This window comes from Homo sapiens, chromosome 13 (assembly GCF_000001405.40).
Source record: "Homo sapiens chromosome 13, GRCh38.p14 Primary Assembly".
In the NCBI taxonomy this organism is placed as follows: Eukaryota; Metazoa; Chordata; class Mammalia; order Primates; family Hominidae; genus Homo; species Homo sapiens.
In genome coordinates, this window is record NC_000013.11 from 51,187,920 (window position 1) to 51,205,493 (window position 17,574).

The 17,574-nt window shown below is 40.2% G+C and overlaps 1 long non-coding RNA gene and 1 pseudogene across 2 annotated transcripts; one reads left to right on the forward strand and one right to left on the reverse strand.

The window, feature by feature from the left end:
• Positions 1-2,743: 2,743 nt before the first annotated feature.
• On the reverse strand, positions 2,744-12,163 carry LOC107984554 (uncharacterized). 2 transcript variants are annotated; one of them, XR_001749988.2, is made up of 3 exons: positions 12,128-12,163; positions 3,762-3,995; positions 2,744-3,173 (listed from the first exon to the last, which is right to left on the reverse strand). It is a non-coding gene; the product is annotated as an uncharacterized LOC107984554 (long non-coding RNA). The 2 variants fall into 2 exon arrangements; XR_007063803.1 differs by having other exon boundaries at positions 2,744-3,995.
• PRELID3BP2 (PRELI domain containing 3B pseudogene 2) lies at positions 7,962-8,162 on the forward strand (annotated as a pseudogene).
• Positions 12,164-17,574: the final 5,411 nt, after the last annotated feature.

Here is a 17,574-nt window from a genome sequence, read left to right on the forward strand (position 1 = left end):
GACAGACATGGTGACTTCATGAAAAATATAAAACTGAAAAATTTTTTTACATTAAAAATTTGAGGCCAAAACCAGCTGAACAAGTAGGCATAAAGAAGATGTAAAGTTTTCATGAAAAGAACTTGGAAGTTTTCTTTTATAGTAAGCTTAAGGTGTATTAATATTTAGATAAGAAATTTCCCAGGCACTAACGTGGTCTTGGCACATTAATAAAAATATAAAATCTAAAACAACAGAACAATCATTGCTCTCCCCACTCTGAATGGTTGAAGGCTATATACCTTCACAAGTACTCTGACAGGCAAGGGTGCTCAGAGACAGATGAGGGTGGGAAGGGTCTCACACCATATTATACAAGGAACAATGAGGCAATGAAAAATATTTATTCTGGAAAGACTAGACTGAAAGACGTGACCATTAACTTCAAACATCTGAAGAACAGCCTGTTGAGAAAGGCATAATAGTTGTTCTCAGTGGTCCCAAGTCCAGTTGGTGGAAGAAACAGGGAGACAAATTTTGTGTCATAAAGAATTTTCTAGCTGGGCATGGTGGCTCATGTCTGTAATCCCAGCACTTTGGGAGGCTGAGGTGGGTGGATCACTTGAGGTCAGGAGTTCGAAACCAGCCTGACCAACATGGTGAAACCCTGTCTCTACTAAAAATACAAAATTTAGCCAGGCATGGGAGTGTGCACCTGTAATCCCAGTTACTCGGGAGGCTGAGGCAGGAGATTCTCTTGAACCCAAGACAGAGGATGCAGTGAGCTGAGATCATACCACTGCACTCCAGCCTGGGCGACACAGCGAGATTTCATCTCAAAAAAAAAAAAAAACATACACACAAACCAAGAATTTTCTGAGTGAGAAAATGTAGTGAATTACTTTTTAGAAAGTACAAAGTTCAGGCCGGACACGGTGGCTCATGCCTGTAATCCCAGCACTTTGGGAGGCCGAGGCAGGTGGATCACGAAGTCAGGAGATCAAGACTATCCCGGCTAACACAGTGAAACCCCATCTCTACTAAAAATACAAAAAAATTAGCCGGGCGTGGTGGTGGGCATCTGTAGTCCCAGCTACTCGGGAGGCTGAGGCAGGAGAATGGCGTGAACCTGGGAGGCGGAGCTTGCAGTGAGCTGAGTTTGCGCCACTGCACTCCAGAGCCTGGGCGACAGAGCGAGACTCTGTCTCAAAAAAAAAAGAAAGTACAAAGTTCTGTTTGAAGGTTTGAAGTTCACTATCAACAGATATAAACTTTACTATACACACATACATGGACATGTCAATTTAAGACACTTTTATGGCTTCTGTGCCTTTTCCATTAAACTTCCCTGAACCCCTTCCAGATACTTCTTGTCCTTGGCAGCATTTCCATGAGTTGCATCTATCTTACCTACCATTCGAGCTAGGCCATAATGGAGTGGAAATACACCATCCGTCTGCATATCATCCTTTTTTTCGGGGAAACATTCTACTTTCATTCAAGGTGGTCAATGTGAGGATGATGCTGACCACACATTAGTTCCAGAGATGGGTATGTGACCCAAGATAGGCCAATGACAGGGCTCCAGCCCTATGCCCATAATAATGGTTTACTGAGATGGCCCCGTAATCCTGACTGAGGCACAGTCTTCCCAAGGAATTTTCTGTCTGGGCTTTTTCTTCTTCTGGGATCTTGAGTCCTAAAGTCAATAAGTTTAAGCTGCTTTGAAACACTTTTCTTGATTAGAAAAAGCTATCTACTATAGCAATTAAATGGACCAACAGTTAAAAGAAACAGAAGCAGATAAAGAGATTGAAAAATTAATTCTTTAGGTCCAAATGTACCTTAAGTATACCTAAATTTTGTAGTTACATAAATCAGTAAGTTTCTTTCTCTTTTCCTTTAAATCAATGTGAGTTCAGTTTGTCACTTGCAACCAAAAGAATTCAGACTAATATGTAGAGCATATCACAGTTGTACGTTTAATATAACGCTTTCTTGCATAATTGTGTTAATGAAACAAGATCTGACAATAAAACTTTAAAGTGCAGACATTAGCGTTCAATTAACTCGGCCACATATTCATATGTTCAGTTGTTATTATGGAGAGTAAGATTTGGTTGAGGAATTAGAAATCGTTCATAGCATAAAGCTCTGATATCTGGATTGCAAAATTCTAATATCTGTAAGATGAATAAAATATAGTTCTTTCTGCTTGAGAAATGAGTGGCTTCTGCCTAATTTTGAATTTTTGCCTCATTATGTGCTCTGAATCAGTACTTTCACAAATGGAAAATATTAATTCTCATTAGAACCCATTTGAATTCTGACAATAGCTGTGATTTGTATTTGCATCTGATTACACTCTACTAAAAGGAGCAAACTGGATGCAGCAGAGATGAAATCTGTTGAGTCCTGAAGAGTAAGGGAGTCTACAACAACGAGAAGGAGAGTCTGGTGAAACTGGAAGTGGGTGGGTGCCTGAACGCTGTCATATTTTCACCACCTGAATATATTACAAGAAATGTCAGCCTTTCTTGGCCCTGGATTCCCTGTGAAAGTAGGGTTTCTCTAACACACACACACACACACACACACACACACACACACTCTGATTGTAGCTCCTTAAATATCTAGAAGTCACTGGTCACATTTATTACTCAAATAATTTAAAGTATGATTCAAGAAGCGACAAAAGTGTCACTGTGTCTACAGATTTACTCATTTCATCCATCCTTTTTAGTTACTCCAGGACTTCAACATCTTTAAAACAGGCATTCTATGGTTTATTAAAAACATTACATCCCAAATTTCTGATGGCTGTTTGAGATATTTTATACAGACATCTACAATATGTTTTTCCACATGCTGCTGGAAATAAAACGTTTTGCTTGAAGAAGCTTCAATACTGTCCTGATTCCTCTGGTTCTTGCATTAATTAATCTTCAATGAGCTTTTCAATAGCTCCAGTTCCAAAATCCTGCTGCATATCAGAGTTACTAAGGGACTTTCGTGAATTCAGTTGTGGAAATCCCTGCTGTAGAGCCTTGCCACCCAAAGCAGCGTTGATGTCATCTGGGAGATAATTAGAAATGCAGACTCTCTGGCTCCATCCCAGACATATTGAATCAAAATCCTCATTCAACAAGTTCCCCGGGTGACTTTTTGCAAATTGGTGACCGAGACGCCCTTATCTGCAAAGCATGGTCAACAGAACTGGTCCCCTTTCCCTCCATTCCTATTCCTATTATACAAAATTCTGACTTCTCCTTAATTACGAACATTCTATTGTAGACAAATTTGATTTGTTCTTCATCTGTACTTTATTCCAAACAGATTTTAAATTCTGTCTTAGACCACAGGTGAAAAATAAGACTTCAAACTTTTAAAAACTCCCCTTTATGTCTCATTCCTTTCCTGTTCCCCATAGGCCACTGAAGCCTCCTGAACACCATCTCCCCTTCCATATTTCACCTGTAGGTTCTACTTCGAGGGCTGTCTGATCTTAGCTGTGACATCATCATTCCCTTCCTGCTACCTAAATTTAAAAATCCTCCCTTTCAAAGACTTCCCAGGCTCTTGCCAGCCTTTCATCTCTGTATGGGCCAGCTTTACTTTTAGATTACATGGAGGCCTATTTTCCGGAGGCTCTCAAGCTAGACTCCATGATCTAGTCCAACTTCTAGATTTCATTTCCAGAAAATTGCCCACCAATCTCACTTTCTGTCAGTTCCTATCTGACTTCAAAACATCCGAATAAAAAAGGGAAATTCATCAATCACCTTGACATTGATCTTCCCACTGCTGGAGGCTTGGTGTTGCCCGAACCGCCTTCTTGAGGATCGTCGTTTTTTCCCCTTTCCAACTGGATATTTTGACATTACACATGATAAAAGAAAAACTTCAGCCGAATTAAATTTAAAGGAGTTTCATCAAGCAATGAAAGATGTGCAACTCGGGCGGCCTCCCAAGCCAGAGTAGGCTCGGAAACTCCAGGACAGCCACAGCGGCAAGATCTATGGAGAAAAAAAGGGAAGTGACGTACAGAAAACGGAAGTAAGGTACAGAAACAGTAACAGTGGATTGGTTACAGGTTAACATTTGCTTTATTTTGAACATTTGAACATGGTTCAAACAGTTGGCTACATTTGATTGGGCAAAACTCGGTGACAGCCACAAGCGTAGGCTACGGTCTATTTACACCTCCACTTGTTATAGTTCACGATGTACAGAAAAACCTCTAGGCCGAATTTAAAGTAGGTAAGGAGTCAGCTTTAGGCTAAACTTGATTTAACACACAGATGCAGTAGACAGCAAGCACAAAAGCAACAGTTGGCTTGTTCTAATGACAGCAGTAATGAGTAAGCACTGATTATCAGAGAATGAGGGTTGTTAGGAATGAATTCTGCCTAGTTTCTTCAATTTCTCAGTTCCTAAAGCTTTCACTGCCCCTCCCTTTCAGTCACCTCTCCCATGATCACCCCAAGGCCAGGTCATCATGGGGAATTATCGACCTCCAACACCCTGAACACCAATTTCCCACTGTTCTATCAAAAACATTTTACCTATGACACTCATATTCCCACATTCATGCCTGTTGACCCTAATTCAGGCTGAATCAACCAGAACATGAACTCAGCCTTTCAGCAGTTTCCACAGGAAATGAAATGACCTAAGAATGCCATCATTTCTGAAGTCATTACTGAAGACTTGTGGAATCATAGAGAAAAGTTACTTCACACATAGGACAGTGTTATGAAGGTGTTTTCTCTCCACACATCTGGCACTTAGCCCACAGACTCCACTCTCTGATAGCCCCTCCACCCCTACTCAACATTTCACTCAAGTTCTCCCATCCCTTATGCAGGGCTAATTCACTCTACACCCAGCTCCTACCCCAAAAAAGCCAGAGAACCTATCAAAACCAAAATTAGTGTCTGATATGCAGCAAGATTCCAGGAATGCAAAAAAAAAGAAAAAAAAACATATTGGTAGAAGATGAGACCAAACAGCAAAGAATGTGGAGCAACAGGGGAGGAGCTCAAAAAAAGAGAGTTTGCAAATAAATCCACTTGAAATCGAGGTCCATGAGCACTCTCTATACTTCATGTTGACCTAGATTTTTGCATCACTGGTCCTCCATGTATGAAAATTATATTAACTCATTAGAAGATGGTATCTATCTATCAGGCCTAACAGTATAGAGGCTAGATGCAAGAGCTCTGAAGTCTGGCTGCCTCTTACCAGCTGTTAACAAGTTACTTAGCTCCTCTGTGCCTCTTTTGTAAAATGGGAATAATAGAAGCTTCTGCCTCCAAGGCTCATGATGAGGGTTATATGAAAGATTGTATGCACACTGCTTAGCACACAGCCTGCCCAAAGTAAGCGCTAAATGTATTTCGGCTATAGTAAGAATCAGCATTGACCATAAACCTTCTTTCTGAAGGGCTCACATTAAAAACAGCTTTTTATCTGATAACTTGTATTCATCTGTTATTTGGACATAGTATCTGTGTGGACAAAAAGATAAGACAAATAAAGATACAGAGTGAAAGGGAGTAGGATGGAATGCTGGATTTTAAACAAACACAAAAGTGATGAAAAGGAAAATGATTCCTGTACCCTACTGAATTATTACAAAAATAGATGCAAAAATCAAATCAACAATGTCAAGGAAAATGAAAGGTCAGCGACTTTTCTCTCTCGCCTTCATTCAGGACCACATTCAACTTACCCCTGGAAGAATACATTTTATTTCCAAAGGGCCTCTTAGCAGAGATTGGGCATTCTGCCTGAGTAACCAACTCCTTTCTTCTGACTGTAAGACTAGAAAATGCATGGCTTTATATTCTAGAAATTGATGTATGTATAGAAATAAAATTGAGTGGTCAGTGGGCACAGAATTGGGAAATGTCCCTGTCTCTTATTTAATCTGTTTTCTAGTTATCAAACATAATTTGCAATAAATAAGAAACAATTACCAAAAATGCTATACTCAGATATCCTCAGAAAATCTTGCGTTGTTTCCTCAGTTTTTAAAACCTTGTCACTAGTATAGTCTTGTCCATCTAAATTTGCAGAAGTGATCTTAATACATTTCAAACAACGACTGCCACTTCAAGAACAGGTCTTCAGCAATCATCCTTGGGTTTTAACCTCTAGATTTAACCTCCTCCCTGAACTCCAAGCTTATATACCCAGCTACCTACTCATCTTCTTAACTGGCATAGCTATTAGGTTGGTGCAAAAGTAACTGCGGTTTTTGCCATTACTTTTAAATCAAACTACAGTAGGCCTCTTAACATGCCCCAAAGTAAATTCCTGAACCTTCCCATAGCCTGCTTCCCTGTCTGCTCCCCTCACTCTTAGTTGCACAGGTCAAAGATCTTACAGTCTCCTGACTCCTTTCTTTCACATGCTCCTTCCAGTCCATCAGAAAGTCTCCGGTTTGCCTTCAAAATATATCTAAGAGCTCTCCTTAATTCCAGTAACAATGGGCTAAATTATTAAAGCCAAACAAAACTTAGCAATTAAAAACTCTGGACAAAATATTTTAAAACATGTAAGAGCTGGCAAAATGATAAGGAAATATAAAAATGAAGAAAAATTATAGTCCAAGGGGGAGAAAATATCTGTCTTTGCTCTGAGGACATGTGTCCATCCCAAAACAGTCTTCTTGGGGACCTAAACATTATGGGGATACAACAATAAAACAATTTCTAGTTTTGAGAACTTAAAAGACTGGGACCTTAAAGGGTCTAAAAGGTGAGGCTAGTTCAGGAATAGATGATGTCACATAAAATTACACCTAAACCTGATTCCTGGATCATCCAGTGTAGTGGTCCCCAACCTTCTTGGCACTAGCAACTGGCTTCGTGGAAGACAACTTTTCCACAGACTGGAGTAGGGGGATGGTTTCAGGATGATTCAAGTGCATTACATTTATTTTGTACTTTATTTCTATTATTATTACATTGTAATATATAATGGAATAATTATACAACTCACCATAATGTAGAACCAATGGGAGCCCTGAGCTTGTTTTCCTGCAACTAGACAGTCCCGTCTGGGGGTGATGGGAGACAGTGACAGATCATCAGGCATTCGATTCTCATAAGGAGCATGTAACCTAGATCCCTCACATGTGCTGTTCACAACGAGGTTTGCACTCCTATGAGAATCTAATGCTGCCCTGATCTGACAGGAGGCAGAGCTCAGGTGGTAATGCGAGTGATGGGGAGTGGCTGTAAATACCGATGAAGCTCCCTTGCCCGCCGCTCATCTTCTGCTGTGCGGCCCAGTTCCTAATAGGCCACAGGCCTATCTAGGTAGGTTTGTGGCCTGGGGGTTGGGGACCCCTGATCTAGTGAATCTCAAGCCTTGAATTTGTTTTAAGGTCATCCCAAACTGGTAGCATCTCCATGCCTGGCAGAAACAATTAGAAATCCTATCTGAATGAAGTTTTCCTTAATCTTAGGCTTCAAATAACCCCTATGCGTTTTTTTTTTCCAAATACAACATCTAATATCCAGTCAAAGATAACTAGGCAGGTAGGAAGCTAGACTCCATGAGAAAGAACCAGCAGAAGCAACAGGTAACAGAAGTAGATTCACAAGGCTTACATAGGAATTATCAGTCTATAAAATAATCATGCTCACTATGTTTGAATCCATAAAAGATAAAACTTGTGGAACTCTGCAGAAACAGAAAAAGATAAAAAATGACAAAGCAGATTTTAAAATGGAATTTCATAGAAATAAAAACACAATAAAATTTAAAATTACATGGATGGGTTAAACAGCAGATTCTATGTGATTGAAGAGAATTAGTAAACTGAAGGATAAATCAGAAGAAATTATACAGAATGCAACATGGAGAAAAAAATGATTAAGTAGTATACAGGGAGTCAGTAGGGGTGGGTGGGAGCAGGTGTCACTTCTTTGCCTCATGTCCCCTGTCACTACCTGCATGCCACCAGCACCATGAAGATCTGGACTTCAGAGCATATCTTTGACAACCCATGGGACACTGTTACAACAGCTGCAGTGCAGAAACATCCAAACCCTAGGAACCCAAGAATGGTTGGATTTGACGTACTGAACAGAAATACAGGTCCCTCTGGAAAGTTGTAGAGCCATAGACTTTTCTACAGAGAGTGGGAACTGCCTTCCATTACGAATTCTCAAATATGGTTTATTCCAAGAACAAAAGGTTGATTCGACATTAGACGATGGAATGCACCACATAAATAGCATAAGGGAGAAAAACTATATGATTATCTCAAGAGAGCCAGAAAAAGGTTTTGATAAATTCAACATCTGTTATTACAAAAACTCTTAGTGAACTAGGAGTAGAAGAGAATCTTCCTCATCTGATGAAAAGTATCTATAAACATCATACCTGAAACACTGAAGTGCTAGAAGCTTATGCTTTGAAACAAAGTACAACATGAGGATGTCTGCCAGTAGCACTTCTTTACTGTATTTTGCTGGAGGTTTCAGCAGGTAGAGAAAAGCCAAAAATAAGAATAAAAATGAGTGGGGGGATTATAAGTTATACAGATTAGATGGGAAGAATGAAAACTATCATTATTTGAGAATGCTATGACTGTATGTATAGAAAGTCCCAAATACTCTACAGACAAATTATCAGAATTAGTAAGTGAGCTTAACATAAGTGATCTTGTTGATGAAAACAAGGCCAATGTACAAAAATCAATTGCATTTGGACATCTTGCTGTGCGGGAAAGCAATGAAGCACTTAAACACTAATGGGAGCAAGTCAAACGGACATAGGAGGCAGCTTGAAGAGGCTTCCACTGGCTGAAATTTGAGAGAATTTAAACATTGAAGAGAATAATGATGGTAATTAACTGTAAAGTATTTAATAAATAAAACTTCATAAGTACAATGAGAGGAGAGAGACTTAATAATAAAGCTGCCTCTGAGACTCCCCAGGAAGCTGCTGGGGCACTGGTGAAACTTACTGGGGAGCCCTTGTGTGGATGTTGCTAAAGTCACTGGGAAGTTGCCCTCAGGGATGCTGCTGAAACTTGCTAAGGTGTGAAAACGCCTGGGTGTCCCGCATGCCAGTGAGCACCACAGGAGCAAGAAGAGAAGAAAGCACTGGAAACAAGAAGAGAAGGCCCTGGCTTGTACAATGTCCTACCAGTGTCCTCCACTGACAAAGCTTAGCATCCTATCATCTGGCAAAGTAGAAATGTGCACAGGGTCCAGCTACAGTATCATAAAGCAGAGCTGAGAGGCAGTCAATCAATAAACACATACATATATATGTATGTAACATGTATATTACAGTTTTTATTTAATATGCTGATAAAGTTAACTCTAGTTAAGCCAAAGTTGAAAGCTTTAAGTTTAGTTTACATTTTTATATGTGTGTATTTGGAGACATGGATATATAAAGGTGTATTAAGATTATATTTAATTTTCTAAAGTAAACTTCTCAATAGGTCAGAAAAAGAGAAATCTTTGAGTATATTTTCTTTTGGCATCACCATTGTAACTCACCTTAGCAAAAGTCGCTTATTTATCAAAAAAGCTCAAAGTTTTTAATAACCATTTCTTATTGCTGTACCCCTTCAAAATAGTACCTATGACTACTTCTTGCCTTTAAATAACTTATATTTATATCTGACAGCTCTTGATGCCTATATCATAAACTATCTTTTGGTTTTTTGGAATAGCTACCATGTAATTCAAAGATTTGCTCATTCCCTTTACAAAAGAATGAATCATAGAAATACTGAGATTTGCTTTACATTCTCCAAATTTTAGATAATGCCTAACTTTAGATAAATGTGTTTCAGTGACTATGAGGTTTTTTTCAAGTTAAAGAAATATGCTCTTGTTCAATCACAATTATTGGTATAATAACAGTCTATAAAAATTGAGGAAAAAGGCCTCTTTAGTAAATCATTCAGAAATAGTTGGCTATCCATATGGGAAAAAAATTAACTTGTCCCCACTTCACAAACATATACAAAAATCAATTGTAAATCTAAATATGAAAATTAAACTATAGAATTCTAGTAGATAATACTAAATAATTTTTCCATGATCTTGGACATGTCAAGAAAAAATGGGTAAATTGGAGTACATTGAAATTACAAGCTTCAGTTCACAGAAGACACCATGAAGAGAATGAAAAAGGAAGCTATAGAATAGGAGAAGAAATTTACAATAAAAATAATTGACATAGGGCTTATTTTCAGGCTACAGAAAGAACTCCCACAAAGCAGTGAGAAAAAAACAACCCAACAGAAGAAGGAAAAATGACTTAAACAGGTACTTCACAATATGGGAAATGCAAATATTAAATAAATATGTATATGTAAAGGTGTACAATCTTATTAATAATCAGGTAAATGCAAATCAGGCATTAGAGTCTCATAAGGCACACGTAACCTAGATCCCTCACAAATTAATTAATGCAAATTAATGCAAATTAAAACAACACCAAAATATTACTATATAAGCACCAGAACACATAAAATGTAAAAGACTGACAATAACAAGTGTTGGCAAAGATGTGAAACAACAGGATCTTTCATACATTGCTAGTGGGAATGTAGCCTGGACAGCCACTTTCAAAAATAGTTTCAGGTTAGCTACTAAAGTTGAAAATACCCATATCACAGCCAGAAAGGTATATATCCTGATACAAACATACATGCATACATACACACACACACACACACACACACATATCCAAATGTTATATGTCCAAGAGTAACGTGCATACCAATAGATATGTAAAAGAATGTTCAGAGTAGCACTATTAGAAGCAGCTAAAAAATGGGGTCAACCCCCAAATCCTCAATATGCACGGTTTTAAAGAATTTTGATCTATTCATGCAATTTTATATTGCACAAACATAACGTTGAATACAAGAAGTCAAACATAAAATACATACTATATGACGTGATTTTCTTAAAGCTCTAAAAAACAGGCAACAGCAAACTTTATGCATAGGCGTAAAAAAATATAAAGAAAAGCAAGAAAGTGATTATTCTAAAAGTCAGGAGGGTGGTTACCATTGGGGAACATGGTAGACTTTCTGGGGAGGTGAATGCTTATGCTTTGACCTGGTAAGTACTCACACTTAGACAATGAGCTGTTACATTTCTGTTTACACTTTTCTGTATACACATTTGTATAGTGAATGTACATTCTATTTCACTATACAAATGGATTGTGCTGGGTGTGGTGGCTCACGCCTATAATCCCAGCAGTTTGGGAGGCTGAGGCAGGCGGATCACCTGAGGTTGGGAGTTTGAGACCGGCCTGACCAACATGGAGAAACCCCATCTCTACTAAAAAATATATATATACACAAAAATTAGCCAGGCGTGGTGGCGCATGCCTGTAATCCCAGCTACTGTGGAGGCTGAGGCAGGAGAATCACTTGAACCCAGGAGGCGGAGGTTGCAGTGAGCCAAGATTGCACCATTGCACTCCAGCCTGGGCAACAAGAGCAAAACTGAGTCTCAAAAAAACAAAAAACAAACAAACAAACAAAAAATGGATTGTTCAAAGTCTTTTTAAAACGTCTTAACTTGTGTATATTATTTAACTTCTCTGAACTTCAGTTTCGCCATCATCTTTAAAATGATATCTGTGGTACTGTAAGAGCTAAGGATTCGGAATATCATGATACCTCAATACAAAGTTTCTTTGTTTCCCCCCAACATCCAAACAGCTGACTCTCCCACAAGAGAAGTAGGGGCAGATTTCTTGGGGGGTTCACAGGAGCAAAATGATTTTGGGCACCATCCTTCCGCCACTTGCCTGCACCCTGGTGACCATTGGTTGAAGAGAAGAATATTTTTTCTCTCTCTCTCTCAAGTAGAGACCTATGCCCACCTCTACTCTTGCTCTCTGAGGCCCTCGGGCATATGGAGATAGTTAGTGGCAGACTGAGAGAGTGTAGAGAAGAAAGCAAACAGAACAGACGCCCAAACCGTAAGTTCTGGAAACAAAGGAACGTTTCAGGCAGAAAACATGGTAGACAGCGTGCGATGGAGTGGACAAGTCTCAGGCAGCCTGCAAGAGCCACTTTACTCCCACGTGATGGAAGAAGCAACAAGTGAAGGAAGGTCAGCAGGAGCATAGGAATGTTACTTACCCAGTGCACTGTTGTGTCTGGAGTTGGTTCCCTCCAGTGGGTTCGTAGTCTCACTGACTTCAACAATGAAGCTGCAGACCTTCACGGTGAGTGTCACAGCTCTTAAATGTGGTGCAGACCCAAAGAGTGAGCAGCAGCAAGATTTATGGAGAAGAGCAAAAGAACAAAGCTTCCACACACAGAAAGGAACGGCAGCAGGTTGCCCCTGCTGGCTGGGGTGGCCAGCTTTTATTCCCTGATTTGTCCCTGCCCATGTCCTGCTGATTGGTCCATTTTACAGAGTGCTGATTGGTCCATTTTACAGAGTGCCCATTGGTCCATTTTACAGAGCTCTGATTGGTCCATTTTACAAACCTCTAGCTAGCTACAGAGTGCTGATTGGTGCATTTTACAAACCTCTAGCTAGCCACAGAGTGCTGATTGGTACGTTTTTACAGACGCTGATTGGTGTATCTTACAGTCCTGTTGTAAGACAGAAAAGTTCTCCAAGTCCCCACTCTACCCAGGAAGTCCAGTTGGCTTCACCTTTCAATCCCCCCTCTAAACAGGACACCCCAGCTGCTGTTGGGAATTGAGCAATGACCACTCTAGCTACTTCCTGCTGGATAGGGGCGAAGAAGGGGCCCTGCAGTGGTAGTGTCCTCCAGAGGGAAACTCTCCAGGCCAGCCAGAGGGCCAGTGGTTCGATCCAGGGGTCCTTGGTAGAAGTTGAGAGTTGAGCTCATTTGGGGTTCCATTTGTAAGACCATCTGTAGCTTGATGGCCTTGATCCTGGAGGAAGCAAATTTGACAAGGAGGTTAAAAATACAGGGCCTGAAGGTGAGTAATAGCAAGATGGCTGTCACGGGGCCTAGAAAGGGGAAAAGGCATGTCGCCCAACTCCAGAGGTTGGTATAAGAGTTTGAAGGGCATTGTCTGATTTCAGAAGCTTTTTTCTGTAAACGCCGGGTAGTGTCTCATACTATCCCTGACTGGTTAGTGTAAAAACAAAACTCTTCCCCTAAGAAGGTGCAAAGTCCTCCTTTCTCAGCAGTGAGGAGGTCTACGCCTCGGCGGTTTTGGAGAGTCACTGCTGCCAAAGAGTCTATTTGGGACTGTAGAGTAAGGATAGATTTTGTTATTTCTTGCAAACTGTCTGAGAAATCCTTTGACAGTGTGTGGTAGTAGGATAATGAAGTAGATAAATCTGGTATTCCGGTTCCTGTAGCAGTGGCCATTCCTAACCCTATAAGTAGGAGTATTAGTTTTATGGCCCTGCGCTGACTGGACTTGAGCTTTGAGGGGAACTGATAGAGTCTGATTTCCGTAAGATTAGAAGTTAGGACAATACATGTTACACTGTTAACTTTTAGCAAACTTTACTTTTGTTGAAAACCTTGTAAGTTTGGGATTTCCATTATTCTTTGCTATTAATAAGACCTCGTTTAGTCCATATTAACTTAGAATTGGTATAAATGGCTCCTTCCTGATTCTGTAAGTACTTTAAGGTTTAGCTGAGTGCAAACAGCTCTTGAGCAGACCAATTATTAGGCAATTTTCCTAACTCTGCTTCTACAAGAGTTTCCTTATCACTTACTGAATACCCATTTTGTCTTTTTCCCTTAATTGCCCAGGAGGAACCATCTATCGTCCTGTCCTGAAGGGAGTTCCTCCTAGATCTGGTCGGACCTTCGTATGGTAATTAATTAAGATTTAGATCCCCTGTTAGGAACCTGCTGGGTTAAGGATTTTTGATAGGAAGGCTATGGGTTGTCAGTGGCCTCAGTGCTTTCGGGCTGTGCCCTTGTTTACACTGACAACAAGGTGGTATTGGAGTGTTACAGGGTCACGGAGAAGACCTTCAATTATCAATTACAGGTTTTAAATTTACCCTGGCTTTTAAAGGAATAGGGTACACTGTTTTTTCTTTACTACTTTTATCTCTCTCTCTTTCTCTCTTTCCTTCTCTCTTTGACTTTCTGTCTCTCTCTCTCTCTCTGTCTGACTTGTCTCTCTGTCTCTTCCTCTCTATCCTTCTATCTTTGACTTTCTGTCTCTGTGACTCAGACAGAGGTTCTTGGCTCTCACCTCTGCCTCCACCTTTAACAGGTAGGAGCAAAGGTTTACCCTCCCACCCCCAGATGGTGATAAGAACACATGGGCCAACCTTAGAGAGAGGTACAAATGAACTCCAGTTCTATTATGGGTTAAAGACTCTCGTGGTAGAAACTAACTACCGTGTTTAACATGATTTATAAGGAAAATACTTTCCAACTTCCAAACATGCAGGACTAATTTGTAAATTCCTTTATGCACTTATTTATTTAAAATTAATATAGTTTATGATTATGCCTTCTGAAAATATACGGAGCTCTTAACTAAAACCCAAGTAAAGAGGTAAAGCATGCTTATTAATAAAAACCCAGAAAAACAATAATTTTAAGAGACTGTAGTAAAGGTTATCAGGCAACTAGGACAAATTGATTACTGTAGTTGAGGACAAGATCTACTACCAAGACTCCTGGCAGCTCAGTGTGGTGAAACAAATGTCCTCTATGGTTTCCCTACAGGCTGGTGACCCAAGGACTGGCTGGGAAGAGGGAGCTTACTGCTAAAGAATCCAGGGCATAGGCAGCTGCTTTAACATCGCTGGGCCTGTTTCTCTCCTCTGTAAAAATGATGGGATTCACCAGATTACATTTAAGGTCATTTTTAGTTTTAGAAAGTTGTGATTCATTCTTGATTCATTGATCAATATTTTTAAATGTCCCAGTTCATTCTGAGAAGCAATTTATTTTTCCTGGTATTAATTTGTAGGGGAAATGTGTCACAGAGTTCTTGATATCAGGCACACTGAGTCACTCAACTAACAATGTGCTCACTACAGTTTTGCAAAGAATACAGAACTGCACATTTAGAAAGCTTTTCCTGTATCTTCCCTTTATAAAACTTGAGGACAAAAAATATAGATGAGCTCAGTGCTTCCTAAAGTTTGTTCCATTGGTACTGCGAGACACAACTTGAAAATTTTAAATGAAAATAAGGAGGAAAATTCACAATGAATATTAGCTTATCCAGGTGCATAAAGATAGGTAGGAAAGACTTTTTTAAACCCAAGTTTTCTCAAAACTTCATTTGCATTAAACCAGTTTAATACCTAATATAGCTCACATTCTGAAGAACTCACTTTAGAAAATGTTAACGTTCCATTTCTCTTTACTTGCTTCCAGCAAAAATGTTCAAGAGATTTGACCAGGAATGTTGCCTCCAGCTCTTCATCTCCCACTCCAATGGGGCTTTTGGCTTTTCCACTCCGGTGAAATGACTCTGAACAACGTCAATGAAAACCCTCATGCTCTCAATCCCATAGGTTTGTGCCTGTACCACCTTCCACAGCCTACTAGCTGAATTCAGCTGATGGCTGCTCCTACATTCTAGAAGCAGTCTCTTGTCTTGGCATTTGTCTGGTTGTACTTTCTGTTTCCTCGTCCATCACTGCCCTCCTTCCCAGCCTCCTCTTTAAAGTCTGGCCAGACTTCAAAGTCAGGCTGTTCCTCTGTGTGCTGGGTCTTCTCATTTCTGCCTCATCTATCTACACCTTTCCTCTGGGTCATCTTTTCCTTCCCTGCAATGTTAAATGCCATATTTGTGCTGACGGCTCCACAATTTGGTCTCCAGCCCAACCCTCTTTGTCATATTTTGTTCCCCCTTTCTCACTATGCCCCTAGAAGACGCATTACACTTTTCTGCGTTGGGGCTTCAGACTTGCTGAATCCTGTTCCTGAGACGCTGGGCTTGTGGCTTTTCTTATTTCTTCTTTTGTCATCTTAAGTGTCACTTTTTCAGAAAGGCTATATCTCTGACTCTTCCTCATCTAACATAGGCACCCTGCCAATCATTCTCCATCACATATCCTATTTATTTTCTTTTTAACATTTGTTCAAACTATCAACGTTTTGTTTATTCGTGACTTTTTTGATTATTTGTCAAACAGGTTCCAAGAGTGCTGAACTATGTCTGTTTTCCCAAGTACCTAGCATACTGCCAGATGCACTGTAGGTCCCTGATAAATTTTTGTTGAATAACTAAATGAATATGGTTCTTCTGATTTCTTAAGCTAACAGAGTCCTCCTCATGCTGTTTTCTGGTGATCTAGGTATACAGTCTACAACAGAGCTCTTAGAGGTCTCTCCAAAGTATCAAAGCTTCAAGGGAGGTGATATAGTTTGGATATTTGTCCCCTCCAAATCTCATGTGGAAAATTGATCCTCAGTGTTGGAGATGGGGCCTAGTAGGAGGCATTTGGGTCATGGGGTGGATACCTCATGAATGACTTGGTGCCTTTCTTGCTGCAGTAATGAATGACTTCTCACTCTATTACTTACAGCGAGAGCTGGTTGTTAAAAAAAAGAGCCTCCAGACTGGGCGTGGTGGCTCACACCTGTAATCCTAGGACTTTGGGAGGCTGAGGTGGGTGGATCATGAGGTCAGGAGTTCGAGACCAGCCTGGCCAATATGGTGAAACCCCCTCTCTACTAAAAATACAAAAATTAGCAGGGCATGGTGGCAGATGCCTGTAATCCCAGCTACTCAGGAGGCTGAGGCAGGAGAATCACTTGAACCTGGAAGGTGGAGGTTGCAGTGAGCCAAGATTATGCCACTGCACTCCAGCCTGGGCAACAAGAGCAAGACTCCATCTCAAAAAAAAAAAAAAGCCTCCCTCCCCATCTCTCTTTAGCTCCCTCTCTCACCATGTGCCATGCTTCTTGTACAGCCTGCAAAACCATGAGCAAAATACACCTCTTTTCTTTACAAATTACCCAGCCTCAGGTATTTCTTTATAGCAATGCAAAACAGACTAACACAAAAAGTTTGAGGAAGAGGTGGATGACAAACAATTCCCAGTCTACTTCTCTGAAGAGTTCCCTAAATGCCAATTCTGGGACATTATATTTTCCTGAGATGGCCACAAACATGCCTCCCAGCCCACATCATCTTCTTTAAAATATGACTTTGACATTCCTCCTGTTGATTGGTACGGTCTATATTCCAATATTGAATCTAGGCAAGTTTATAACTTTAGCAGAAATGATACTATGTCTTACAATTTCCCTTGAACAAAGAAACAAACAAGAAACAAGGCTACATCATAAAAGGCAACACAGCCTCCACCTGGTCTTCTAGTGATGCTTTCTCTTGAAACCTAGCTACCACCCAAGGAGAATGTTCAAGCCGCTATATGCAGAGGCGATGTTTAGGTGTGCTGGACAATAGCCTCAGCTGTGGTTACAGATGAAAGCCAGTATCAATACCAGACATGTGAGTGAGGAAACCTTCTAGATGATCCCAGTCCCCCAGTTAGCAAGTAATCCCAGCCTTTGAGTGTCCTGGTTGGAGTCTCTAACATGTAGCAGAAATAAGCCATCCTTAGACATCCACTGTCCAAATTCCTGACCCACAAAATCCAT